Genomic DNA, 26,160 nt, shown 5'->3' on the forward strand with positions numbered 1-26,160 from the left:
GGGCGGGAGGCTGCAGTGCCTCCGTGGGCGCCTGGCCGAGTGCCACTGCTGGGAGGTGCCACTGTCAGGAAGGTTCCCTCGTGCTGCTTCCGGCTTCCATGTGCAGACAGTAGATTGCAGGCGTGTGCAGGCAGGGGGCTGGCTTCCAGCCCTTGGGCGATGTTCAGTTACACATGTAGCATTGCACACGCTCAGAGGCGTCCCCTTCGTCCTAGGACTCCCTCCTCCTCAGGGCCAGGGCCACATGGCGTGGGCACTTGCCTGTCTCTGGGCGGGACACCAGCCTGTGAGGGGCACGACTACTCTCTTGGACTGTTCAGGCAGGGCAGCCGAGCCAGACGCTCACCATGTGGAAAAGAACCCGCAGGCCTGCGACAGAGTGCGGCCAGTGCCCTCCACGCCAAGGAGCTCCAGGCGGGGCTTCCAGGTGGGCGCAGCTGGTTGAGTACAGACCTCCCCTCTGTTCCCTGGACTGAACGCCCCCTCAAATAACAAGAAAGTGGTGCTGGGGCTCTGCACCCACAGGGCAAGGAAGGTGGGAGAGGCGGTGCCACTGGGAGGTATGGGCACAGCTTGGAAGGCAGCCAGGCAGACTGGGCAACCTGAGAGGCCCTGGCCCTGGCCTGGGTCAGGATGGGGAGAACAGGAACCATGGTGACATGTGGCTGGCAGCGCGGAAGGCCTGTCTGGGGGGTCAGGTGGTCCCACAGAGCCCTTCCCTGGGCTGGAGCAGTGGACTCAGAGGACCCAGATTTGGGGCACCAGACCCAGGCCAGCACAGTTCGTGCGGGGGCTGGAAGTGGGGATCGCCTGGCTCATGGCCTGTCCCCTGGTGGGCCCCCCCGCCCCTCTTGCCTCCTTGGCTCCCAGGACCCTAGCGGCCAGACTTCTAAAGCCCACAGACCCAGCTGCTGGCATCGGGGACCCAGCAGAATGCCCGCTACCCCAGCACCCATGGGTGCAGCCCATGCAGCGAGCTGCCCAGCACCGGGGAGGCTCCCAGGGATGAAAAGCCGCAAGGCGTATGGGGCGGGGCGGGGGGGCTTTTAACAGGAAGGTCAGCCAGCACATGTAAAAATTGAACTCAGAGGCTGGACGCAGGGGCTCACGCCTGGAATCCCAGCACTTTGAGAGGCCGAGGCGGGCGGATCACAAGATCAGGAGATCGAGACCATCCTGGCTAATACGGTGAAACTCCGTCTCTACTAAAAATACAAAAAATTAGCCGGGCGTGGTGGCGGGCGCCTGTGATCCCAGCTACTCGGGAGGCTGAGGCAGGAGAATGGCGTGAACCCGGGAGGTGGAGCTTGCAGTGAGCCGAGATCCCGCCACTACACTCCAGCCTGGGCGACAGAGCGAGACTCTGTCTCAAAAAAATAAAAAAGTAAAAAAGGAACTCAGAGGAAGGGCCAGTGCAGGGAACAGAAGGAAACTAAAGCAAAACAAAGCCCGTGAATGTTCTCTGAGAAATGGATGGGATCCATCCTGGGATGTGGTCAGATGAGAGGAAAGCTCTTGACACTTGGGTTAGGAGAAGTAGCAAATGAAATGAAAGGATCAGGTGATAAAGTTGAGGATACCGCACAGAAGATGGGGCAAAAACACAAAGAAACTAGGAGAGAAAAAAATCAGACATCAGTCCATTGGTCCAACGTCCAGTTAATAGCAGAGAAGGAGCGAGCAAAGCAATAAAGAGGGGCCCCTTCAAGGTGTATTTAAAATTTTAGAACACGGGAGAAGAAATGTGTTTAGAGAAAAAGTGGGTCACACACGAAGCACCGGAGTCAAAACCCACTTTGCCTTTCGGCAGCCGCGTTCAGGTGTGGAGGCTCCACGCCCAGCCAAGCTCCATCTCCCGGAAGGCAGATGAGTGAGGTTTCCTGACTGAGGCCTTGGAGTGCACTCCTCCGCGCCTTTCCAACACGAGGGAGGCGCAGGTTCCTCCCGCCCAGGAAGATGCGGCCCCTGGTGCAGGCAGCAAGCAGGGTGGACCCCAGCTCTGGGAGGGGCCTCGCAGGCGCCCTGATATGAGCCCTTTCTCTTTGGGAGCTCTGCTGCCGAGCACTTTAGGGAAGAATCTGTGATGATTCCATGAAAAACTAGGCAAGTGGAGAAAAAAGACGATTGTTAATCTCAGGAAGCAAAGGTGTTCGAAGGAAGAGAAGAAAGAATGGCCTAGTGTGGCCTCACCGCCTTTACCTGTGTGTGCAGGAGCGTCTCAGAACAGACCCCGAGTGTGACTGAGTCCGCTGTGTGCAGGAACACAACACAACAGAACAGACCCCGAGTGTGACTGAGTCCGCTGTGTGCAGGAACACAGCAGAACACAACAGACCCCGAGTGTGACTGAGTCCGCTGTGTGCAGGAACACAACACAACAGAACAGACCCCGAGTGTGACTGAGTCCACTGTGTGCAGGAACACAGCAGAACAGACCTTGAGCGTCATGGAATGCACACAGTGATCCTGGAGGGTGGGGTGCATGTGTGGCAATGGGAGGCCTGGCCTGAGGCGCTGAGCTGGTGGGAACCTGAATGCGGAAGAGCCTGGCCCCACGGTCCCAGCTGCCCGGGTGGGGTGGCTGCGGTCATGTGTTCTTGCAGGGTTCATGGCTCGCTGAGACATTGGATGGTCTGTGTGTGTCACTGTGATCAGATGTGGATGTAACCCCACTGCGGTGGAGCCTGTCAGGGACACAGGAGCCAACAAAGCGAGAACCCGGCGGCCAGGGTAGGGACAGCTCGACCTGCAGGAGGGTCAGGCCACATTGGATCATGACTTGAAGCAGAGCATGGTGGTCCCTGGGTTCACACCACCATAGTGAGCAGATACAGATGCGAAGGGGAGAGGAGATGCACGTCCCAAACAGAGGAATTCCACCCTCGAGAACGCCCGGCTCCCGGCAGGCTGTGCAGAGCAACTGAGCACTTTTCTCTTTATTCTTTCTTTTTTGTTGTTGCTTTTTTGAAACAAGGTCTTGCTCTTTTGCTCAGACCAGAGTGCAGTGGCACGATCTCAACTCATTGCAGCCTTGACCTCCCAGGCCCAAGTGATCCTCTCACCTCAGCCTCCCAAGTAGCTGGGACTACAGGCGCACACCACTGCATCTGGTTAATTTTTAAAACACATTTTATAGAGATGAGGTTTCACCATGTTGCCCAGGCTGGTCTTGAACTCCTGGGAGTGAGCCACTGCCCCCAACCCATTTATAACATTAAACCAAATTATCTTTAAGAAAAGTGGCCAGGTGCCTTGGCTTACTCCTGTAATCCTAGCACTCTGGGAGGCCAAGGCGGGCAGATTGCTGGAGTCCAGGAGTTCAAGATTAGCCTGAGCAATGTGGTGAAACCCCGTCTCTACAAAAAATTTAAAAATTAGCCAGGTTGGCTGGGTGCGGTGGCTCATGCCTGTAATCCCAGCACTTTGGGAGGCTGAGGCGGGTGGGTCACGAGGTCAGGAGATAGAGACCATCCTGGCCAACATGGTAAAACCCCGTCTCTACTAAAAATACAAAAATGAGCCGGTGTGGTGGTGGGTGCCTATAGTTCCAGCTACTCAGGAGGCTGAGGCAGGAGAATCGCTTGAACCCGGGAGGTGGAGGTTGCAGTGAGCTGAGATCGCACCACTGCCCTCCAGCCTGGGCGACAGAGTGAGACTCCATCTAAAAAGGCCGGGTGCGGTGGCTCACGCCTGTAACCCCAGCACTTTGAGAGACCAAGACGGGCGGATCACGAGGTCAGGAGATCGAGGCCATCCTGGCTAACACGGTGAAACCCAGTCTCTACTAAAAAATACAAAAAAATTAGCCGGGCGTGGTGGTGGGCGCCTGTAGTCCCAGCTACTCGGGAGGCTGAGGCAGGAGAATGGCGTGAACCCAGGAGGCGGAGCTTGCAGTGAGCCGAGATTGCACCACTGCACTCCAGCCTGGGCGACAGAGCAAGACTCTGTCTCAAAAAAAAAGCCAGGCATGGTGTAATTGGACTGTGGTCCTGGGAGATGGAGGCTGCAGTGACCTGACATCACACTGCTGCATTCTAGTCTGGGCAACAGAGTGAGACCCTATCTCAAAAAATTAAAAAGTTAGGTGAGGCTGGGTGCTGTTTACACCTGTAATCCCAGCACTTTGTGGGGCTGAGGCAGGCAGATTGCTTGAGGTCAGGGGTTCCAGACCAGCCTGGCCAACATGGCAAAACCCTGTCTCTACTGAAAATACAAAAATTAGCTGGTCGTGGTGGCTCACGCTTGTAATCTCAGCTACCTGGGAGGCTGAGGCAGGAGAATCACTTGAACCCAGGAGGCAGAGGTTGCAGTGAGCCAAGATCACAACACTGCACTCCAGCCTGGGCGACAGAGTGAGACCCCATCTTAAAAAAAAAAAAAAAAAGAGTTATAAATAGTATTCCATTAGGCACTTGCACTGTGATTAGAATTACAGCACAATTCTTGCAGTAGCAAAGATGTTATAAAAACTCGTTCAGAAAACATACGTGCTTCTCTGGTGGCGTTTTACAGCCGTCTTGACTTGGAGACGTTTGTCAGCCAGGCCAGGTGGGAGGGCTGGTCCCATGCGGGGGGTCCAGGCTGCGTCCGCCGCTAGGGCCGTGGCTGCTGTGCAGGTCACCCCAGAGGGGCTGGGATAGCTGGGCGTGGCCTCCCAGGAGCTGACTGAGGTCCTACCCAGTGTGGCGGGGGCCTTTTCCTCCTTGGGACCCTGCTGTTCTCAGGTGGTACACTGGGGTCTGGAAGGGAGGGAGAATGGAGACACAGGTTGAGGTTGGGTGCACACGCCCGCCTTCTCCCCTGGGATAGACGCCACGGGCGTCCAGAGCTGCAGGATTTGCTCCATTTGTGAAGTGCCCTCCTGGAGTCCCGAGGGGTGGTGTGGTTACACCTGCAGTCCCTGGACGGCAGGGTCCGGCCTTGGAGCCCCTCCTGGGAGCTGTGCAGCCCGGGTTTGGTCGCGTTTCTCAGACGCCCCTGCCTTGCTGTTACAGACGGCCAATGGGAACGTGGAGGCCAAAGTGGTGTGCTTCTACCGGAGGCGGGACATCTCCAGCACCCTCATCGCCCTGGCCGACAAGCACGCAAGTGAGTCCGGCCTTCCCTGGGGTGCCCGCCTGGCGGGAGGGTCGGCTGGGGAGGGCTGGCGGGGTCCTTCTTCCCTAGGGCCCATCGGCATCCTGGCCTCGTGGGGCCACCCTCTGCCCAACTCACTCTGGCGTCTCTTTTTCTCCCTTCCACAGTGGGCGGGGGTGTCCTGGCTCCGTTTCCTCGGGGGCTGGGTGAATGAAGTCCTCGCACGCCCCCCGGAGTGGTCTGTCTCTCACTGGCATCCTCTGCAAGCTTGTCATGGTGTGGCTGGGTGTGGGCATCATTGATCGAGGCTTCTTTTTCCCTTCTATGATGACTTCTGGAGACTTTCCAGGCTGGTGGGACCCTGCTGCCTGCACTTGCCAATGTCTCTCTCTTTTTAATTTTGCGGAGAGGCTTCTGTTGGGATTCTGAGTAGTGTTTTCAGGAAAGCAGTCCTCTCCTTATTCTTTACGATTCAAACCCAAGTTTAGTAACCTGGCTGGGAGGGGCTGCTGTGGCCAGCACAGCGTGTGGGAGGAAGCCACTGGCTGCATGGGAATGCCCTCAGCCTTGGGGACCCAGCTTCTCCCCCGGGAACAGGTGCTCGCAGGTGGTGGAGTCTCCTGTGCCGGGGGATGTTGACTTCAGAGCCAGGAGCCAGAGGCACCCCCACGCCCTCCACATGCTACTGACACAGGGCCTGCCGAGCTGGGCCCCACCTGCACCAGACACAGTGTGGTACCCCACTGAGGCCCTTCATGTGTCGGTGGGGGCAGGCATGAGGGGCATTTTTGGCTTCCACTCTGACACATCACCTGGGGTGGGATCTGAGCCCAGGCTGAGGCTGTGGTCTGTAGGGTGACATTTCCCAGTAGGTGAGGCATGTGACTGCCCGGGTACCCGTGTCGCTGGGGTGGGCCAAGGTCCCACCTGTAACCTCCCACGACCCCTAATGGGGTGAGGTCCAGGGACTGTGGGTTTGCGGTGGGTCGGGTGGGAGGACCCTCGCATCTTCTGCCCCGTCCCAGCGCTGTGGGTGAGGGGCAGGAAGTCAGCCCAGGCAACCTCCCCCTGCTCTGGGAGGGGCTTAGGGACAGGACAGACCATCCTGCCACCGATGCCTTGTTCCTGAGCCTTTGCTGGGAGTCGGCCAGGGCAGGCGCTTGTGGAAGGAAGGTGTCCCTTAACCCCACTGCCTTGCCCACCGGACAGCTGGGACCTTTCCTCAGCAACCAGTGGATGCGGACGTGAGCTGCCCTGGGTCAGTGCAGCTGGGCCGGGCCCCCGAGCCTGGGTCCACTCTGGACACTGGGCTGTGGGGCCTGTGGCTGGCCCAAAGGGAGCTGCCAGTTGACCATGGGCTTTCTCTGGCTTTGTGAGGAACTGGACCTCCTAGCTCTCTGCTCAGAGGAGGGGAGCGTTCAAGGTGGGGCATGGTGATCCTTGACCTCTGACCCCAAAGCCTGTGTACTCCACTGCTGCACTCGGCGGGCTCCAGGCACCAAGGAGGAGAGCTGGGGATGTTGAAGGTCCACAGGCTACACATTCTGGAGGGGTGTTTGGTGTGGCCCTTGGCCCTGCAGGTGCTGGGTGCCAGTCAGCAGCACGGCTGGCGGTTCTTAGTGTTGGAGGCTGGCCTATGTCGACTCTGCAGGGCTGGCCCGCTGGAGAAGCAGTGGTGGGGAGCGGCCTGGCTCGCTGGAGAAGCAGTGGTGGGGAGCGGGCTGGCCCGCTGGAGAAGCAGTGCCCAGGCTGAGCGGCCGCAGTGTGGCCCTGCCAGTCTGTGTGGCCTGGGGAGTCAGGCGCCACCGTTGAGTTGGGCATGTTTATGGCTGGCCCAGGGTGGATCCTGTCTCTGTCCTCTGGCACCTGGGGGCACAGTGTCCCTGCTCCAGAGAGCCTGTATCAGTGGTTTAGTGGTTTTTGAGGGTACTGTGGCCCCCTTGGCTGAGGTTCTGCTCTCAGACGCCCCAGAGGATGGCCTTTTGCTGGAAGAGCCCCAGAAGGGGACTCCAGACATAACGTGATTAGAGGTATCAGAGGGCAGGTTTTCCAGAAGGGCCTCGTTGGGGCTGATAGGACTGGGTGGAGAGCAGTGTCCCAGCTCGAGCACTGGCCCCCCCAGGTACACAGCACAGCCCCTTTGGACGGTGCTCCCTGGAAAGCTGCGTGGCGGCCCCTCTGCAGGGCGTTCCTATGAACTGAGAGCCCAGCTGCAGGGAGCAGGCGTCATGGGTGATGGGTCTGCCGCTGGTCCAGGGACTCAGAGCGCGGCCCCACTCTTGCCTGGCGGCTGGGCCTTGCGGTGATTCTGCAGGGCCCACACCCCCCGGGGTTGTGTCAATCTCCGTTTCTCCTGCTTCTCTGTGAGCTCATGGCAGCCAGGGTGAGGCCCCCAGCTGATCCCAGGGACAGGTGTGAGGACACTCTGGGAGGCCTCTGGCTCTCCCACGTCACTGCCTCCACCCAGCCCCTGCTGGGGCGTCCAGCCCACAGTGCAGGCCTCAGGGTGGAGGGTAGACACCCGCCAGGCTGCACTGTGGCCCCTGTGGCAGAGAAGCCCTCCCCCCGGCAGGGCTGTGAGCATGAAGCCTTTCTCAGGACAGAATGACAGGGAGAGGGGAACGTCCCTCCTCAGAGGAGGGCGTGGGGGCCCTGGAGACCACAGCCAAGAGTGGGAGTGAGGGCACAGCCTGGGCCTCACGCTTAGGGGTGTATCCAGGGTCTGAGGGAGGGTTCAGAGTGTGAGGGGTGCAGGGTACACTAGCCAGCCCCACCTCCTGCCTGGGTGTTTCTGCCTGTTGAGGGTCTTCTGAGGAGCTGTAGGCCCACCTCGCCCGCATCTCCGACAGGCTGCACCACAGAGCCCTGTTCTGCTGACCGGGACGCTGGTGAAATGGGAGTTTCGGAGCCGCTGTGGGCTCCTGTCCAGGCTGGGTCAGTGCTCGGATGGGGCCTGGCATAGGGCGGGCGTGAACAAAAGCCAGCCTCTGGTCTGGGGCTGGTGTGTGGGCCTCTGGGCCCTGGTGATGTCTGAGTTCAGGGTGCAGTTTGCTCGTGGGTCCCCAGAAGTGGGAGCGAGTGAGATGTGTTGGCCTGGGATGAGAGGACTGGGGCTGTCCTGGTCGGCCCTGCCCTGTTCTATGGACCGGGAGGAGGTGAGGCTCAGCCGCCAGACACCCCAGGCTTTTGAGGCCCAGATAGGGCCGGCCCAGAACAGGCCCAGCATGGCTGCTCCCAGCCTCAGTCTTAGCTGTTGGCGCCTGGGAGGGCCCAGAGGAGCCAGGACTTCCTGCAGGCACCACAAGGGGGCCGCAGAGAGCGAGCAGCCCGGCTGGCTGTGGTCCCATCTGGGGACCTTGGGCTCAGAGAGCCGGCAGGGCGCTGAGCGGGATGAGTGGCCCACTGGCGGCCGGTGCTGAGCGTGCGAGGGGCGGTGGGGAGCACCACTGCACGCCCCCATTTTGGGTGTTATAAGAACCCTACTTGGGTTCCTAGCACAGGGCAGGAATCCCCATGCTGCTGGCCGGTGCCCGGCCCCGGTCTCATCTGGACAGCCTGTTCTGGGAAGCCCCAGTGGAGTGGGGGCAGGGGTGGCCTCTGGACAGGGGCCCTCCACAGCCAGGCTTGTCTGGGCTCTTCCCAAAGAGGCTTGGCACTGGGTGGATGGGCAGCCAGAGTGGGGGGACGTCGAGGCCCAGATGATCTTCAACCGGGTGGTCTTCACGCCCCACCGGGAGGCCTGCGGCCCCCGTTCTGCCCTGCCCCCTGGCGGCACAGCCCTCGGTCCGGGCCCTGGGCAGGGAGCAGGCCGCCACCCTGTGCTGACCGTGCTGCCGGGTGCTGTCTGTCTGTTATATAGCCCTGTCAGTCTGCTATAAGGCCGGACCGGGGGCGGACAACGGCGAGGAAGGTAAGAGCCGGCCTCCGCAAGGAGGGCGTCCTCCTGTCTGTGTCCCTGGGCTGGGGGCGGCAGCGCCGCTGAGGGACAGAGTTTGGGCGGGCCGCCTGCATGCCTGTGCCCTGCGCCCGGCCGGCCCGGCTGAGGAGGGGCCCTCCCTTGTGTCCGGCCCACGGCCCAGGCTTGGTGCGGCCCCGGCCTGAGGGTGACCTGCTGGTGTGGGAGGTCTGTGGTGGGCTGTATGGGGCTGTCTGGCCACGAGATGGGGACGGACAGAGGGCGGCTGCCCCTCGCCCTCCTGGCCTGGGCTCTTGGCAGCCGCCGACTCCCCCGCTCCTCTTGCTCTTGCCTGCTGCTTCTGGGGCTGGCCCGGACCTTGTTCTCCCTCCTCCTTCCATCTTCATGCCCTGGGGAGTCTGGGCCTTTAGGGTGCCTGGACTTAAAGGGCACGTGGGCACCAGAGTGTCTGCAGGGGTACCTGCCAAGGAGCCGCCGGGCCGCCATAGGGTGGGGCAGTGGGACAGTGTCCGGCAGCAGGAGGAGGCACGCCTCCCAGGACTGGGCCTCCTGCGTGCTGGCGCCAGGTGGGGCTGGTGGGGTGGGCCTTGGTCTGGCAGTGTGCGTCTGCCGCGGTGCTGACAGGGGCTCCTTGTCCTTCAGGGGAAATAGAAGAGGAAATGGAGAACCCGGAAATGGTGGACCTGCCCGAGAAACTAAAGCACCAGCTGCGGCATCGGGAGCTGTTCCTCTCCCGGCAGCTGGAGTCTCTGCCCGCCACGCACATCAGGTAGCCCCCAGCAGCTCCCGCCCTGGGCCCCTCGGGCTGCCCTCGCCTTTCCAGCCTGCCCGTCCTTCTCTTCCAGGGGCAAGTGCAGCGTCACCCTGCTCAACGAGACCGAGTCGCTCAAGTCCTACCTGGAGCGGGAGGTGAGGCCCAGCCCGGCCTGGTCTGCCGCAGCCAGTCCCGGGCCACTGTTTCCTCTACCTATGACCTCTGCTGGCCTGGGCGGCGGAGACGATTTTCCCTCCTCCCTCTAGGCCCAGGCTGTTCTGGGGGGAAGCGGGGATTGCGTCCTGACTGTCACTTCCAGGTGTCCTGGTGTGTGGCCGCCCCCACCCTACGCGTCCAGAGTTGTGGGCCAGGAGCTTGGAGCTCTTTCCTCTTGCCACTGCCACCCAGACAGCCAGCGAGGGGAGGTCCCCCTGGGGAGGGTGTGGCTGAGGCAGGTGGGGGCAGGGGCCACCTGAGTCTTCGCAGGAGTCTTGGCTGGTCTCTCCTGGGCGGTGGGCAGAGTCCTGGTAGGCCCACCTTGGGGGTCACTGTGATTATACGGTGTTACCAGGTGATTCTTATCTGGGGGTCACCTGTGATTATACGGTGTTAACCTGCCGTATAGCATCCCCCAAGGCGTGACAACCAAAAAATGTGTCCCGACAATGCCATACATCCCTGGGGAGCAGTGTCGCCTGACGGAGAGCGGTGGCACTGAGGCTGCTGTGAGATCCAGCGAACGGGAGGGTTGGGTTTTCTGAGGCCACGTGGGGGCAAAAGCGTCTGGAGTGTGTTGGTTCCCTGGAGTGCCTGTCACAGTTGCGGGGCACACCTGCCAAGGGGCAGGCGCATCTCCAGGCCTAGGGCTTGGCCTCCCACGGGCTCTGCTGCCACCTGGCTGGAGTCTTGTGACCTGAACACCCCCAGCGTGTCCAGTCAGCTCAGATGCAGGTTGCTGGATGCGGCCCCCACCCTGCCCATCCCAGGGGGGCTCATCTCTGTCGTGGCCATCGGCGCTCTGGCATGGGCTCTGAAGGATCCAGGATGGCCACGGTGTGTCCCAAGCTCAGCCCTGCACTACCTCTGTGGCCCCGGTCCCCATTCCCACCACACAGCCTGGAAACAGGCGTGAAGGGCGACAGTGGCTCAGCTAGGGCTGTGGTCGTGCCTTAGCTCAGAGTCATGAGCAGGCAGAGAAGAGCAGGCAGGGCTTGGCCTGGGGTCGTAACACATGCGTGGAGCATGGGCAGGGCTCGAACCCTCTCAGGCTGCCAGACCAGCTTCCCAGAAGGCTGAGCCACAACATGCTGGGCGGGAGCAGAGGCTGTGGGGGTCGCTGTGAAGGCTTCCACTCAGGAATGAGGAGTGCCCTTATTGACAGAGCCACACAGAGAGGGTGAGACTGCAGAAATGTATCTGTGGGCACAGAAAATGTTTGTTAGCAAAAAAGGCCCGTGAGGAAGCAGCAGGTGCAGTGACAAGCCTGTCTGCACTGTGTCCGCCCAGAAACGGCCGGGTCCATGCTTGCCGGGGACAAAACAGGCTGCTCAGGCACCCTGAAACCCTCCTGCTGCACGATGCAGCCCTTCCCCCCTTTTTCTTTTTCTTTTTTTGTTTTTTTTTTTTTTTTTTTTTTTTGAGACAGAGTTTCGCTCTTGTTGCCCAGGCTGGAGTACAGTGGCGCGATCTCAGCTCACTGCAACCTCCGCCTCCCGGGTTCAAGCGATTCTCCTGTCTCAGCCTCCCGAGTAGCTGGGATTACAGACGTGTGTCACCATGTCCGGCTAATTTTTTGTATTTTTAGTAGAAATGGGGTTTCACCATGTTAGCCGGGCTGGTCTCAAACTCCTGACCTCAGGTGATCATCCCGCCTCTGCCTCCCGAACTGTTGGGATTACAGGCATGAGCCACTGCGCCCAGCCACTTCCCTCTTCTTTCTTACCTGGGGTTTCTGAACAGCCCCAATATGGGAATTTAATGTAACAGGCTCAGGGTGAGTACACTTAGCACCTGGCAGAAGCTTGTGCCACTGGCCCCTGGGCGATCGTGCCCCTGCCTCGCCTCAAATAACCCTCACTGATGAAGTCCTGATAAACACAGGCTCATGTCACAGATAAGCAAGAGTGCAGAAACAGCACACAGCAGTCACAGACACACCCAGGCCCTGACCAGTGGCGCAGTCCGGCACCAAATAGAAACCACTTGTGTTTATTAATTTAAAGAAACAGGCCGGGTACAGTGGCTCATGCCTGTAATCCCAGCACTTTGGGAGGCCAAGGCCGGGGGAATCACTTGAGCTCAGGAGTTCAAGAGCAGCCTGGGCATCATAGTGAGACCTCACCTCTACAAAAGTAAAAAACATTAGCCAGGCGTGGTGGTGCACACTTACTGTTGTCCCAGCTACTCAGGAGGCTGAGGTGGGAGGATTGCTTGAGTCAAGAGGCGGAGGCTTCACTGAAGCAAGATCGCACCACTGTACTCTATCTTGGGTGATAGAGCAAGACCCTATCTCCAAAAAAAATAAAAGATCCAGGCAGAGTAGGAGCTGAGGCTGAGGCTGGCAGCTGGCCTCTGGATAGTCGTGTCAGTTCAAGAGGACGAAGGCCCTGAAGCATGGCTCGTGGTCACACATGGAGCAGGTGTCATGCTGGACTTTAAAGGTAGCTCTTGAAAGAAAACACGCAGAGTAGCTTTCAGAATAGGAGAGACAGGGAAAGCGGGTAAGGGCTGGAAAAGACGACCCACAGGAATCAGGAGGATGACCTGGAAACGGGAGGGTGATTGGACGCCAGGCACACATGCAGAAGAAAGTGCAGCCCTGGCTGAGGCCAGGTGCTCAGGCTGGGACTCCAGGGTCAGGCCCGGACAGGCCTGCTTCAAAAATCATCAGAACCAGCCCAGTGCAGGACACACAATGCCGGACAGCAAAAGGTTGGCAAAGGCCATGTCCTGGAAATGCCATCCCAGAGGCAGCCTGGGGGCCCTGGTGTGAGGTTGCCTGAGATGGAATGCTGGCGGGAAGGGCCGCGCCTGCTGCGCGGGTGGCGGCCGGCGGTGCTGAGCCTGGAATGCTCCGTAGCGCTCCAGCGGTGGCCGCTCCTCCAAGGTTGTGCCCAGAACTCCTGATTTCTGTTGCTCTTAAACACCTTGGATAAGTTACATCTTCACATTGCTGCTGCTGATAGGGATGGCTTTGTAGCCGGGCATAGCACACGCCTGTAGTCTCAACTACTTGGAGGCTGAGGTGGGAGGATCACTTGAACCCAGGAGGCGGAGGCCACAGTGAGCTGTGATTGCACTGCTGCACTCCAGCCTGGGCGACGGAGCGAGACCATGTTTCGAAAAAGGAAAATAAGTCTGCTGGGCGCAGTGGCTGACGCCAGTAATTCCAGCACTTTGGGAGGCCGAGGCGGGTGGATCACCTGAGCTCAGGAGTTTGAGAACAGCCTGGCCAACATGGTGAAACTCTGTCTCTACTGAAAATACAAAATATTAGCTAGGTGTGGTGGTGGGCACCTGTAATCCCAGCTACTTGGAAGGCTGAGGCAGGAGAATTGCTTGAACCCGGGAAACGGAGGTTGCAGTGAGCCGAGATCACGCCATTGCACTCCAACCTGGGCGACAAGAGCGAAACTCTGCCTCAAAAAAATAAAAAGGCAAATAAGTCATGGTTTTTGGGCTGTAGCCGTATCCACCCTGCCTTGGTAAAGGCTTGTGGAGCCTGGCCCCACCCCTGCAGCTGCTCATTGGCCCTGCCTCTGCTGACCCTCGGCATGTCTCCTCCGTGCAGTGTCATGGGGCAGGTGCATCCCCCAGTGACCCTCGAGGCCCCGCTGTAGGCTCCTCCCAGGCATGGCCGGGAGCTGTGGGGGCTCCTGCGCCCTCCCTCCCTCCTGCGCCCATGTCGCCCCACAAGAGCTCTGGGCAAGACCCTCCCAGCAGCCCGGCCGTGCTGACGCCTCTCTGACCCTCCCAGCAGCCTGACTGTGCTGACGCCTCTCTGTCTCCTGTGGTGTTTTCCAGGATTTCTTCTTCTATTCTCTAGTCTACGACCCACAGCAGAAGACCCTGCTGGCAGATAAAGGAGAGATTCGAGTAGGAAACCGGTACCAGGCAGACATCACCGACTTGTTAAAAGAAGGTAGGGTGGGCCGCCCTGGGCATGGAGCCCTCTGTCCTGTCCTGTCCTGCCGGGTGACACACTGGGTGAGAGGAGGCTGGGACATGGCCGTGTCAGTGATTCATGTGTGACTGGGGGCGGCAGGTGTAGGCCTGGGCTCTGTCCACATGGGTGATGCGTGTAGGCTGGTGTCCCGGAGCCTTCCCCCACCCACTCCTGGTGGTGTTGGGGTTCTGGGGAAGCCTCAGACCCTCAGGCAGGACGTGGTGATCAGCTGTCCTTGCACAGTGACACCTGGTTTCCTTCTGGCAGTTGTTTTTCTTTTTCTTTTTTTTCAGACGGAGTCTCGCTCTGTTGCCCAGGCTGGAGTGCAGTGGGGTGATCTCGGCTCACTGCAACCTCCGCCTCCCAGGTTCAAGCGATTCTCCTGCCTCAGCCTCCCGAGTAGCTGGGATTACAGGCGCCCGCCATCACGCCCGGCTAATTTTTTTATTTTTAGTAGAGACGGGGTTTCACCGTGTTGGCCACGTTGGTCTTGAACTCTTGACCTCAGGCCTCCCAAGGTGCTGGGATTACAGGCGTGAGCCACCGAGTCTGGCCTTGGCAGTTATTTTTCATTACTTTTTCTTTTTTTTGGACAAGGTCTGGCTCTGTCGCCCAGGCTGGAATGCAGTGGTGCAATCACAGCTCACTGCAGCCTCGACCTCCCAGGCTCAGATGATCCTCCCACCTCAGCCTCCTCAGTAGCTGGAACTACAGGGGCACCACCACACCCCCCTAGTTTTTTTGTATTTTTATTAGAGACAGGGTTTCGCCATGTTGCCCAGGTTGGTCTCAAACCCCTGAACTCAAGTGATCTACCTGCTTCGACCTCCCAAACTGCTGGGATTACATGTGTGAGCCACTGCACCTGGCCTCATTTTTTAAAGTTCTTTTTGCCTCCAGAAATTTTCTTCTGTGTGAATCTGCCCACGTTTCTTGTCTTGCCTGTGGGTGCCCCACCCTTGAGGCCTGCTGGGGCCGTGGAGCTCCGACGCAGTGCTCACCCCGGATGCTGGCAGCCTCCTCCCTCCACCGGGTGCTTCGGTAGCCCTGGTGGGAGGTCCTGGGGCTCACTGTCCCCTTCTCAGCCCTGTCCCTCATCTCCCCGCTGGGCAAGGCCGCGAGGCTGCCCTCGAGACGCAGGGCTCTGCCCCCGAGGGTGGGCGGGGACTCGCCTCCCTGCTTGCAGTTGTGATCAAGGCGTTTCGTGCTTGTCCTGTTTTGGTTTGTTTTGAGAGCGGGTCTTGCTGTGTCGCCCAGGCTGGACTTGAAGTCCTAGGCCCCAGCGATCCTCAAGCCTCAGCCTCCCGAGTAGCTGGTGCTGTTTCGTGTTCTTCTTGATTGTCCGTAAGGTGCTGGTGCGTCTCACAGGTGGCTGGGTGTGCCACCTCCTCCAGGCAGCTGTGGGCTCCAGCATTGGGCTCGTGGGCCTGCTACATTGCAAGCATCTGTGCTCTGGGAGGTGCTTGGCAGTGGGGGAAGACCCCCACATCTCTCCAGGCAGACAGGGCACATTGAGGGCTGGGCCTGGGGAGGAGGCCTCTGTGCTGAGGCCTGTGGGTCGGAGCCTGGGGAGGCCGCTGTGCTGGAGCCCGGCCTGTGGGTCTAAGTGTGGGGAAGTCACTGTGCTGAGGCCTGTGGGTCTGAGTGTGGAGAGGCCGCTGTGCTGAGGCCTGTGGGTCTGAGTGTGGAGAGGCCACTGTGCTGGGGCCCGGCCTGTGGGTCTGAGCATGGGGAGGCCGCTGTGCTGGGTCTGGGCCTGTGGCCTCCAGGGTGCCCTGCTATCATGCCAGGGTCTCCCAGCCTGGGGCTGTCTTGCCTTTCTGGCCTGGCCAAAGGTGAAGGCCTGGCAGCCGCACCCAGGTGGAAAGGCAGAGTCCGTGGCTGGGAGACAGGTGAGAACACAGATCACATGAGGGCCAGAGAGTGAGGAGCTGTCTCAGGTCAGAGGCCCTCAGCTGGCGCATCTGTACCTTCAGCCTGGGGCCAGTGGGCCTGTCAGGAGAATGGGCCTTGAGGTGCCCCCATCTTACCATGCACACCTGGAGAGACCTGGCGGAGCTCTGCAGGGTCTGGGGCGATGGGACTAAGGGTCCACAAGGCCGAGCCAGCCGCAGGAGCCGGCCTCCTCTCCCCACGCTGCCTTCCCCGCTGCCCTGCCGTTCCTTGGCTTTTGGGCCGCTGGTGCAAGGACCAGGGATCCCACCAGCTGGTGTGGGGCCGGGACGTGGCGTCCAGAGCTTTCCCCACCTCCGAGAGGCTGTGTCCCTCTTGAGTGATGGAAAATTGCACACTAGTTGTGCACCTGCCTTTAGTGAGTTTGAAATGTCAAAGGGAGTGCGACCATCATGACCAGCAGTGCGCATACACGGAGGCACCATGGCTTGTGTGGGTCACACCAAGGCTCAGCTTCTTGGCCGTCAGGGAGCTAGGCCCCAGCTTCCCCAGGGTACCCCTGAGCCAGGTGAGGAGTCCACACCAGGCTGAAGACCCCCCAGCCCGCCTTGCTGGTTCACACAGCCCCAGTCCCTGGCTGACCCCGTCCTCTGAGTCTGGCCAGGCATTGTTTCCTAGAGGCCGCATGGCCTGACCCTCCCTGGACACATGGCCCAGGATGTCCGGCCCTTGGGGCAGGGTCTGGGAGCCAGTGCCCCTTAGCGAGGGATAGCATTTTCTTGGGGACTTTCTAGTCTCAAGAGCTCTCTCCATGCTGGACCTGCAGCCGGGCGCCCCAGTGGAGGGCAGCCCCGCACTCCGTGGTCCTTGGTCTGGAACCTCGGTGCTGCCCAGGGCTGGAGGGGAGCTGCTTGCAGAGTCTGAGCCTGGCACCCTGCACTGAGCTATGGAGGCGGCTGAGAGGTGGACAGAGGACAATTGTGGAGCTCTTTCTCCAAGTCCTCCCCCAGGAGTCAGGCTCAGCCATGCTCAGACACACATTCTCCTGAGGGTGTCTCCCAACACCACGGTCTTGTTTTTTGGCGAGTAAAAGGCTGTTTCGTCAGAAACCCTCCTGGCCCTGGCCGACTGCAGGCGTCAGGTGGCCTCTTCACCAGCCTTGAGTTCTCCATCGTCCCAGCTCCCAGAAGACAGGAAACAACTGGTGACTCCAGAGGCACGCCCACTCCCTGGCCCCCGGCTCTGGCTGTGCCAGGCTTAGCCGCAGCTGCCCCAGAACCCCCTGGGGTGGAAGAGGGGCCAGGAGGGAGCCTGTGCCCCCAGAAGGTCCCTGGAGGTGGTCTGCCTGCTGCTGTGACGTGGCAGGGCCCTCTTGCAACAGCATGTGAACCCAAGTATCTCAAAATAAAAAGCTTGGGCCGGGCACGGTGGCTCACGCCTATGATCCCAACACTTTGGGAGGCTAAGGCGGATGGATCACCTGAGGTCAAGAGTTCGAGACCAGCCTGGGCAACATGGTGAAACCCCGTGTCTACTGAAAATACAAAAATTAGCTGGGCATGGTGTCGGTGCCTGTGGTCCCAGCTACTCAGGAGGCTGAGGCAGGAGAATCGCTTGAACCTGGGAGGCGGAGGTTGTAGTGAGCCAAGATCGTACCACTGTATTCCAGCCTGGGCGACAGAGTGAGACTCCGTCTCAAAAAATAATAATAATAATAATAATAATATAAATAAATAAATAAAAAGGCTTGATTTAAATTTACAAACCAACCTTCCCATCTCTTGTGGCCACAGTTCTTGGAGCCCTGCATTCTGGGTGGGCTGGGAGGCCCCTTGCGTGTGCACCCCAGCCCCGGGTTGAGAGGCCACTGTGTGCCTGTGTGTGCAACAGCCTCCGTCCAGCCTTGCACCCTGGCCTCACCTATGGGGCCCTGCAGCCCTTCCCCCTCCCCGTCCCAGCAGCTCCCCGCACCCGGGGAGGAGAGGCGCGGCCCGGCGCGCCGTGGGACCCCGTCTCAGAAAGGCCACACTTCCTCCCTGTAGGCGAGGAGGATGGCCGAGACCAGTCCAGGTTGGAGACCCAGGTGTGGGAGGCGCACAACCCACTCACAGACAAGCAGATCGACCAGTTCCTGGTGGTGGCCCGGTGAGTCCTGCTCCTGGGCAAGGCCAGCAGGGGTGGTGCCTGGAGCTTCTGTTCTCCCTTCCCTGTGGTGGGTGTTGGGGACGTGACAGTCTTGGATCCCATATCCCAACAAGAAGCCCATGCGCTGCAGCCCTGAGACCCCCGGTAGCAGTTCCCAGAGAGGCTCGGGAGTGCTGGGTCCAGGCCCTTCATTAAATAGAAGGGCGGCCCTTCTGGGGGGCAGGCCTGTGTGCCTGCCCATGTGTCCCTAATGGGGCTTTCCCAGGATGGGCCAGAGGTGCTTTCCCACTCCTGGGCCACTGGGAGCAAGTGGGCTGGGCCTGGTCATGGAGCAGAGCAGCTGCAGCCCGGGCAGACCCCTGGGGCAGGGCGAAGGCCGAGGCCCAGGAGAGGACCATGCACCTTCCCTGCCAGCAGCCTGGGAGGTGGAGAAAACCCCAAAAGAAGCCCCAAGGCGGCTGCCAATCTATCGGGATGCCCTCAGTTAGACGCACACGGGTTCTGGGGTGGGTGCCGGGCCCTACTCCGCAGCCTGGGGCCCAGGACACGAGGAGTCCTCGCCACCTGCGGGCTGCTCCCTGCGATGCTCATGCAGTCTGTCCCTGGTCCCTGGCGCCTGGGGAGCTGTGTGCCTGGGGGGAGTCCGCGCTGCCCGTGGCCCCTGGTCCCTGGTCCCTGGGGAGCTGTGTGCCTGGGGGGAGTCCGTGCTGCCCATGGCCCCTGGTCCCTGGCACCTGGGGAGCTGTGTGCCTGGGGGGAGTCCGCGCTGCCCGTGGCCCCTGGTCCCTGGTCCCTAGGGAGCTGTGTGCCTGGGGGGAGTCCGTGCTGCCCATGGCCCCTGGTCCCTGGCGCCTGGGGAGCTGTGTGCCTGGGGGCAGTCCGTGCTGCCCATGGCCCCTGGTCCCTGGTCCCTGGGGAGCTGTGTGCCTGGGGGGAGTCCGTGCTGCCCGTGGCCCCTGGTCCCTGGTCCCTGGGGAGCTGTGTGCCTGGGGGGAGTCCGTGCTGCCCATGGCCCCTGGTCCCTGGCGCCTGGGGAGCTGTGTGCCTGGGGGGAGTCCGTGCTGCCCATGGCCCCTGGTCCCTGGTCCCTGGGGAGCTGTGTGCCTGGGGGGAGTCCGTGCTGCCCGTGGCCCCTGGTCCCTGGCGCCTGGGGAGCTGTGTGCCTGGGGGCAGTCCGTGCTGCCCATGGCCCCTGGTCCCTGGCACCTGGGGAGCTGTGTGCCTGGGGGGAGTCCGCGCTGCCCGTGGCCCCTGGTCCCTGGTCCCTGGGGAGCTGTGTGCCTGGGGGGAGTCCGTGCTGCCCATGGCCCCTGGTCCCTGGCGCCTGGGGAGCTGTGTGCCTGGGGGCAGTCCGTGCTGCCCATGGCCCCTGGTCCCTGGTCCCTGGGGAGCTGTGTGCCTGGGGGGAGTCCGTGCTGCCCGTGGCCCCTGGTCCCTGGTCCCTGGGGAGCTGTGTGCCTGGGGGGAGTCCGTGCTGCCCATGGCCCCTGGTCCCTGGCGCCTGGGGAGCTGTGTGCCTGGGGGGAGTCCGTGCTGCCCGTGGCCCCTGGTCCCTGGCGCCTGGGGAGCTGTGTGCCTGGGGGAAGTCCGTGCTGCCCATGGCCCCTGGTCCCTGGCACCTGGGGAGCTGTGTGCCTGGGGGAAGTCCGTGCTGCCCATGGCCCCTGGTCCCTGGCACCTGGGGAGCGGTGTGCGTGGGGGAAGTCCGTGCTGCCCATGGCCCCTGGTCCCTGGCACCTGGGGAGCTGTGTGCCTGGGGGAAGTCCGTGCTGCCCATGGCCCCTGGTCCCTGGCACCTGGGGAGTGGTGTGCCTGGGGGAAGTCCGTGCTGCCCATGGCCCCTGGTCCCTGGCACCTGGGGAGTGGTGTGCCTTGGGGGAGTCCGTGCTGCCCGTGGCCGCTGGTCCCTGGCGCCTGGGGAGCGGTGTGCCTGTGGGGAGTCCCTGCTTGGCCGACACTGTGGTCAGCGCATCTCCTTTCCCCAGCTCTGTGGGCACCTTCGCACGGGCCCTGGACTGCAGCAGCTCCGTCCGACAGCCCAGCCTGCACATGAGCGCCGCAGCTGCCTCCCGAGACATCACCCTGGTAAGTGGGCCCAGGGCGGGACAGGTGAGACCTGGGGTGGCCCATGGCCCAGAGTGGCTGCGCCCTTCTTCCTACCAGGGCCCAGCACCTGCCCCAGGTATTCAGGACCCCTGCAGAGGTGCTGTCCCACCTGGACTGGCCTTTCCTATCCACCCCAAACTCGGCCAGACTGTGCTGAGGGTGCAGGGAGGGTTGTGCTGCTGGGCCTGCAGTAGGGGATCCTTGAGGTACTGAGGGAGGGGGTACCGTGCCACAGGTGCAGGAAAAGCCACCTTGGCCCGGGTGACCCTGCTGTCTCCTGCCGCAGTTCCACGCCATGGATACTCTCCACAAGAACATCTACGACATCTCCAAGGCCATCTCGGCGCTGGTGCCGCAGGGCGGGCCCGTGCTCTGCAGGGACGAGATGGAGGAGTGGTCTGCATCAGAGGCCAACCTTTTCGAGGAAGCCCTGGAAAAATATGGGAAGGATTTCACGGACATTCAGCAAGATTTTGTGAGTACCGTGGGTGGCGATGGGGGAGTGGCTGGCCATGCCCATCTCCAGGTAGGCTGCGGGGGTGTGGGCTCCACATCCCACTCTGCCCTGAGGGAGCCTGTCCTGCACCCTGATTCCCTGTGCGGAGCTGCATGAGTTCTGTCTCAGCTGCGCTCGGCCGCCATAGTCCTTCCTGTCACACTGGTTCAGCAGACAGGCATGGGGGCGCTGGTGGGGCCTGGGCATAGAGAGCCATGCTCCTGCCACCATTGCGTGATGAGGATAAGGGTTGGCCCAGGTGACGGAGGCCAGGGTATCCTCACGGAGACTTTCCCTTCCTTGCTGCCCCCTCCAGCCCCAGGCTTGGTTTTGCTTTGTTTTTGACTAAGCTGAACCTCTTGACTCCTCATGTCCTTGTTTTCTGTCTCACGTGAGTTTAGCCCAGCAGCAGGCCTAGAGAGTCTTCATGGCGTGGGGTCTCCCTTCCCTGTACCTCCACCTCAGGACCCCCACCCTCCAACCGTCAGCCCTCCTAAAATACTTCTAAATTAATCTGTTAGAAGAGCATCCCTATGTGGGGGTGGTGGGGCCCCCAACCATCAGCCCTGGGGAGGTGGAGACTGTGGCAGGGCAGGGAGGAGCCCCAAAGGGGCCGGGACACAGCGGGGTGGCTAGTATCTGATGAAAGCACCATCCGGGCAGCAGCGCACAGGCCAGCGCAGCAGAGGCTGGAGACGCATCTGGAATTCGGAAGAAACAAACATGGGGTTGGGTAGGGTGCCTAGACCTGAAGAGGAGGAGGGACAGCAGCCAGCTGTGAGGCTCCTGAGGACGCATCTGCTGGGGGCAGGAGTGCAGCTTTGTGTGGGGGCCTCTGGCCAAGGGGAGAGCTTGGCCGGGCGGGAGGAGTCCCTGACTGTCCCTGGGGCCAGCGGCCTCTCCAAGGCGGATACGGATCTCTCCAGGCTTAAAAACAAACCAAGATGAGCAGAACATGTTCAGACAAGAGGACGAGGGCTAGAAACAAAATTCACCAACTAGGCTCAGACCAGGGCGGAATTTGAGGGAGACCCTGCTGCACATGGTTCCAGCGGAGGAGACCCCAGTGCTGAGCCCACGTGATGCCTAGCGAGGCAGCGCTCAGGGGACTGCGGCTGCGGGGCCATGCCCAGGCACGGTCTCGGGGGGCTGCGGCTGCGGGGCCCTGTCCAGGTGCGGGGATGGGAGGCTGCAGCTTCGGGGCTGTGTCGAGGGAGCAGGCCCCGCTCTCCTTCCTGCCAGATGCAGTGGACCAGACTGAGGAACTATCTGAACCCTTATTTAATAAGACAGGTTTCTTAAATCCATGCCACAGCCCGGGCGCAGTGGCTCATGCCTGTAATCCTAGCACTTTGGGAGGCCGAGGCAGGAGGATCATGAGGTCAGGAGATCAAGACCATCCTGGCCAACATGGTGAAACGCCATGTCTACTAAAAATACAAAAATTAGTCGGGCATGGTGGCAGGCTCCTGTAGTCCCAGCTACTCGGGAGACAGAGGCAGGAGAATCACTTGAACCCCCGGGGGTGGAAGTTGCTGTGAGCCGAGATCGCACCACTGCACTCCAGCCTGGGCGACAGTGCGAGACTCTGTCTCAAAAACAAAAATGGCTGAGATGGCCGGGCATGGTGGCTTATGCCTATAATCCCATTTGGGAGGCCGAAGTGGGTGGACCACTTGAGGTCAGGAGTTCGAGACCGGCCTGGCCAACATGGTGAAACCACGTCTGTACTAAAAATACAAAAATTAGCCGGGTGTGTTGAGAGGTGCCTGTAGTCCCAGCTACTCAGGAGACAGAGGCAGGAGAATTGCTTGAACCCGGGAGGCAGAGGTTGCAGCGAGCCGAGATTGTACTACTGCACTCCAGCCTGGGTGACAGAGCGAGACTCCGTCTCAAAAACAAACAAAAAAAAGGCTGAGATGGAGGCTGGGTTGTCAGTGCCACCTCGGCAAGATCTCGACCTTGACCTTGTGCCAGCTCCTCTTCCCCTGGCGTCACTGTGTTTTGGCATCTGGCGGGGGGACCTGCTTCATCAGCTGCCCTCTGCACCTGCCTGCCAGCAGGGGCCTGGCCTCCGTGCACCAAGCACACCTCGCCCTCTGGCCTCCCGCCCCCTCTGTGGCCTTCTGGCCGCAGCCCTGCCCCTGCCTGCATGGTGTGCCTGCCTCCTGCCCCTTCCTGCTTGTGTGACACGCCTCCTCCCACCCAGCTCCCGTGGAAGTCGCTGACCAGCATCATTGAGTACTACTACATGTGGAAGACCACCGACAGATACGTGCAGCAGGTGAGCCCGCCCGCCACTCAGTGCCCGGGGTGTGCCGCCTCCCCGTCCTGCGCCCCATCCTCTCCCAGCAGGTGGGCGTGCACTGCTGCAGCAGGAGGGGAAGGAAGACTCCTGAGTCCCTGGCCCGGCTGTCCTCTCCGTGGTGCTCTCCTCTCCGTAGCCTCCAGCCTGTCTGCACTGCAGCCCCAACCTGGGCCTAGCCTGCTGACCTCTGACCTTCTCTTTTGTTTTAAGAAACGCTTGAAAGCAGCTGAAGCTGAGAGCAAGTTAAAGCAAGTTTATATTCCCAACTAGTAAGTGTGCCCTCACAGCCGTCGTCCTCGTGGCCCCGGGGGCCAGGGAGGGTGGGCACAGGGTGCTGGGGCCAGGCGGGTCCCAAGGAAACTCAAGCTCAGAGGCTGGGAAAGTTGGGGCAGCCCCCGGGAGGGCGGCCCAGGGCTGGGGGGTTCTGGCTGCAGACGCAGTGGCCATGTCTCTGTCGTCCTGGCCTCCTGGTCAGTAAGGGGGCATTGGGATTCCAGCCCACACCGCCAGGGTTCAGTCCCTGAGCTGGGCTCCATGCTAGGGGGAGCACGGGGGCCTGGAGAACGGCTCAGACCTCAGCAGTGGCTCCCAGGAACTGAAAGGGGAGAAAGGAAGATCCCTGCCGAGGCCGAGGGGTGCGAGGACGTGGTTCTGGACAAGGGGTGGTCAGCCGCGGTGCCTGCTGGGCACATGGGCCCTCGAGGTTTGTGCTCCTGCAACTCCTCTCGTCTCTCCTTTCCCTCTTTAAGTAACAAGCCAAATCCGAACCAAATCAGCGTCAACAACGTCAAGGCCGGTGTGGTGAACGGCACGGGGGCGCCGGGCCAGAGCCCTGGGGCTGGCCGGGCCTGCGAGAGCTGTTACAGTAAGTGCCCTGGATGGCCGGGGGCACACCGCACGCCCGCCTGTGGGCCGTGGTGCCTGCGTTGGCCCTGAGGGCTCCAGCATGGCCCAGCCTGCAAGGGGCCCACTGACGATGGGGGCTGCGTCCCAGGGGTGTGGTTGGGAGAGCCTCGGGGAACGTGTGGGGGTGCCTGGCGGGTGGGGGCGGCCGGCGTGGGGGTGGCGGGGAATACTCTGACATCGCTGGTTCTGCTTAAGAATCCGTCTATTTCCAACTTTGTTGTCCGTAGCCACACAGTCTTACCAGTGGTATTCTTGGGGTCCCCCTAACATGCAGTGTCGTCTCTGCGCATCTTGTTGGACATATTGGAAGAAATATGGTGGCTTGAAAATGCCAACCCGGTTAGATGGAGAGAGGCCAGGACCAAACCGCAGTAACATGGTAAGGGGGGGGACACCCGCCCTGCCTGCCATGAGCCTGTCGGCCACGCGGGTCCTCGGCCCCCGGTCATGGCGCTGTGTTGGGGCGGTTGCGCCCCCTTCCGCAGAGTCCCCACGGCCTCCCAGCCCGGAGCAGCGGGAGCCCCAAGTTTGCCATGAAGACCAGGCAGGCTTTCTATCTGCACACGACGAAGCTGACGCGGATCGCCCGGCGCCTGTGCCGTGAGATCCTGCGCCCGTGGCACGCTGCGCGGCACCCCTACCTGCCCATCAACAGCGCGGCCATCAAGGCCGAGTGTGAGTCACCCCAACGCCCCGCTTACTCTGTTCCTGCGGGTGGTGGGGAGAGAGCAGCAACCTTGGGGCCCAGCCTGTAGCCCCACTGGGAGTTCTGATCTCAGGGAGCCCCACGTCCTCCTCGGTGCTGACATGGCCGAGCCCAGTGAGGGCTCCCAGGTCAAGGCGCAGGCAGGGTCCCGTGCTCCCCTGGGGGTGCCCCACCCCTCACACCGTGTGGTACCCCGCAGGCACGGCGCGGCTGCCCGAAGCCTCCCAGAGCCCGCTGGTGCTGAAGCAGGCGGTACGCAAGCCGCTGGAAGCCGTGCTTCGGTATCTTGGTGAGCAGCCAGGCGTGCTGGGGGGCTCCCAATGCTGCCTGCAGGCAGCTTCTCACCCAAGCTCATGCACTGGTGCTCCCAGCCTTCTCTAGCTGGGAGCTCCTGGACAGCCCCCCAGGGCCTGGAACTGTCCTTTTGGGGTACTCTGCACCGTGCCAGGCTCAGGCAGACCCACTGGGACCCAGGCTGCTCCCTGCTCCTGGGGTCGTGATGGGGCCCAGTGCGGAGTAGCGGCCGCCCTGTCTTCTGCGGGGCCAGCCTCCTCAAGGCACACCCGGGGGCTTCCCTGCCAGTCTCGCTACCCTGTTCCCTGTGTTCTGATCGTCCCTGGGGCCTGAGGGTCTGGGGTTTAGGTGGTGCACACCCCTGCCTGTAATACCATTAAGGCAGCGTCGTACCTGCTGCCTGCAGGGAGTATACTTCCTGAGCCACGCCCACTCCACAGGGGCAGCACTCAGGCCTCTGCACGCCCTCGGCAGGGGGAGGAGCAGCCTCAGGCGGCAGGGGGTTCCTTTGCCTTTGAGCATCTGAGGACACCCGAGAACCTCAGCCGGCTACCCTGGCCCAGCTGGAAGCAGCTTGGTGGCTGGGCCAGACATTTGTGGTGGCGGTGGGGGGCCTCCTCCATTTGCTGGGCTCGAGTGGGCTTGTGCATCTGCCCTCCCGACACAGGGTGACTGTCCTGAGAAGGACATTCCAGAGTCATGAGCCAAGTGTGCTCTGAGATTCAAGTGGCTTTGGCATTGCTCCCTGTTTGGGGTTGTGGCCCCTGTCCTGTGGGAAGAGGTGGCTGGTGTCAGGGCTGGTCCTCAGCAGCTGTGTCCCTGGCCAGGCTGGCTGGATGGTTGGTTCGCTGTCTGACGAGCAGCCAGCCCTCCACCAGCAGCTCCGGGGGCCTGGACGTGGGGGCTGTTTAATAGGCGTGCTGTGCTCACGGGCCTGTGTATGGATCCTGTTGTCCCGGGGCTGAGGGGCCTGGCCCCCGCCAGGTGGTCTCCCTGCTCTCTGGAAGCCCTGGGGTGCGGGACTGGCCCGGGCACACGCCTTGCCGAGGGCTTCTGGGCTTCTGGTTCTGTGGTGACCTCCCCACTTCCAGCCCAGTCAGGATGGGGCCTCGGGTGGGGGCCGCATGGGGCTTAGTTCCTGGGGGTATCCCGGAACCATGAGGGCTGGAGCCTGGGCCTGCCTGCCCCTCCCCTGCTGGGCAGAGGCAACTCGTTCTGCCTGTGTCATTCCCGGCAGAGACCCACCCCCGCCCCCCCAAGCCTGACCCCGTGAAAAGCGTGTCCAGCGTGCTCAGCAGCCTGACGCCCGCCAAGGTGGCCCCCGTCATCAACAACGGCTCCCCCACCATCCTGGGCAAGCGCAGCTACGAGCAGCACAACGGGGTGGACGGTGAG

The 26,160-nt window shown here is 61.5% G+C and overlaps 1 protein-coding gene across 21 annotated transcripts in view, besides 3 other annotated features; it reads left to right on the forward strand.

The window, feature by feature from the left end:
- Positions 1-26,160, forward strand: part of MTA1 (metastasis associated 1) — a 50,903-nt gene that overhangs the window by 20,597 nt on the left and 4,146 nt on the right. For 6 of the 21 annotated variants that reach the window (XM_047431904.1, NM_004689.4, NM_001411061.1 and 3 more), the window contains exons 3-17: positions 4,995-5,088; positions 8,936-8,986; positions 9,635-9,761; positions 9,838-9,901; positions 13,770-13,887; positions 17,847-17,949; positions 19,935-20,034; positions 20,342-20,530; positions 22,761-22,835; positions 23,070-23,128; positions 23,609-23,724; positions 23,993-24,144; positions 24,251-24,440; positions 24,671-24,760; positions 26,003-26,155. In XM_047431904.1, the coding sequence (XP_047287860.1) occupies positions 4,995-5,088; positions 8,936-8,986; positions 9,635-9,761; positions 9,838-9,901; positions 13,770-13,887; positions 17,847-17,949; positions 19,935-20,034; positions 20,342-20,530; positions 22,761-22,835; positions 23,070-23,128; positions 23,609-23,724; positions 23,993-24,144; positions 24,251-24,440; positions 24,671-24,760; positions 26,003-26,155 (1,681 nt within the window). Of the gene's footprint in view, positions 1-31; positions 428-4,994; positions 5,089-8,935; positions 8,987-9,634; positions 9,762-9,837; positions 9,902-13,769; positions 13,888-17,846; positions 17,950-19,934; positions 20,035-20,341; positions 20,531-22,760; positions 22,836-23,069; positions 23,129-23,608; positions 23,725-23,992; positions 24,145-24,250; positions 24,441-24,670; positions 24,761-26,002; positions 26,156-26,160 lie in introns of those variants that run through there. The other 15 variants (XM_047431906.1, NM_001411062.1, XM_047431908.1 and 12 more) reach the window with 10 other exon arrangements.
- Positions 8,463-8,602: a silencer, noted in NCBI's record as "silent region_6238". NCBI's record gives its function as "represses an Ori minimal core promoter by ATAC-STARR-seq in GM12878 lymphoblastoid cells {active_cell/tissue: GM12878}" and the evidence as "EXISTENCE:reporter gene assay evidence [ECO:0000049][PMID:35858748]".
- Positions 23,831-24,353: an enhancer, noted in NCBI's record as "H3K27ac-H3K4me1 hESC enhancer chr14:105930591-105931113 (GRCh37/hg19 assembly coordinates)". NCBI's record gives its function as "activates a minimal SCP1, AML or CMV promoter by ChIP-STARR-seq in naive H9 embryonic stem cells {active_cell/tissue: H9 hESC(naive)}" and the evidence as "EXISTENCE:reporter gene assay evidence [ECO:0000049][PMID:30033119]".
- Positions 24,354-24,875: an enhancer, noted in NCBI's record as "H3K27ac-H3K4me1 hESC enhancer chr14:105931114-105931635 (GRCh37/hg19 assembly coordinates)". NCBI's record gives its function as "activates a minimal SCP1, AML or CMV promoter by ChIP-STARR-seq in naive H9 embryonic stem cells {active_cell/tissue: H9 hESC(naive)}" and the evidence as "EXISTENCE:reporter gene assay evidence [ECO:0000049][PMID:30033119]".

This window comes from Homo sapiens, chromosome 14 (genome assembly GCF_000001405.40).
Source record: "Homo sapiens chromosome 14, GRCh38.p14 Primary Assembly".
Lineage (NCBI taxonomy): Eukaryota > Metazoa > Chordata > Mammalia > Primates > Hominidae > Homo > Homo sapiens.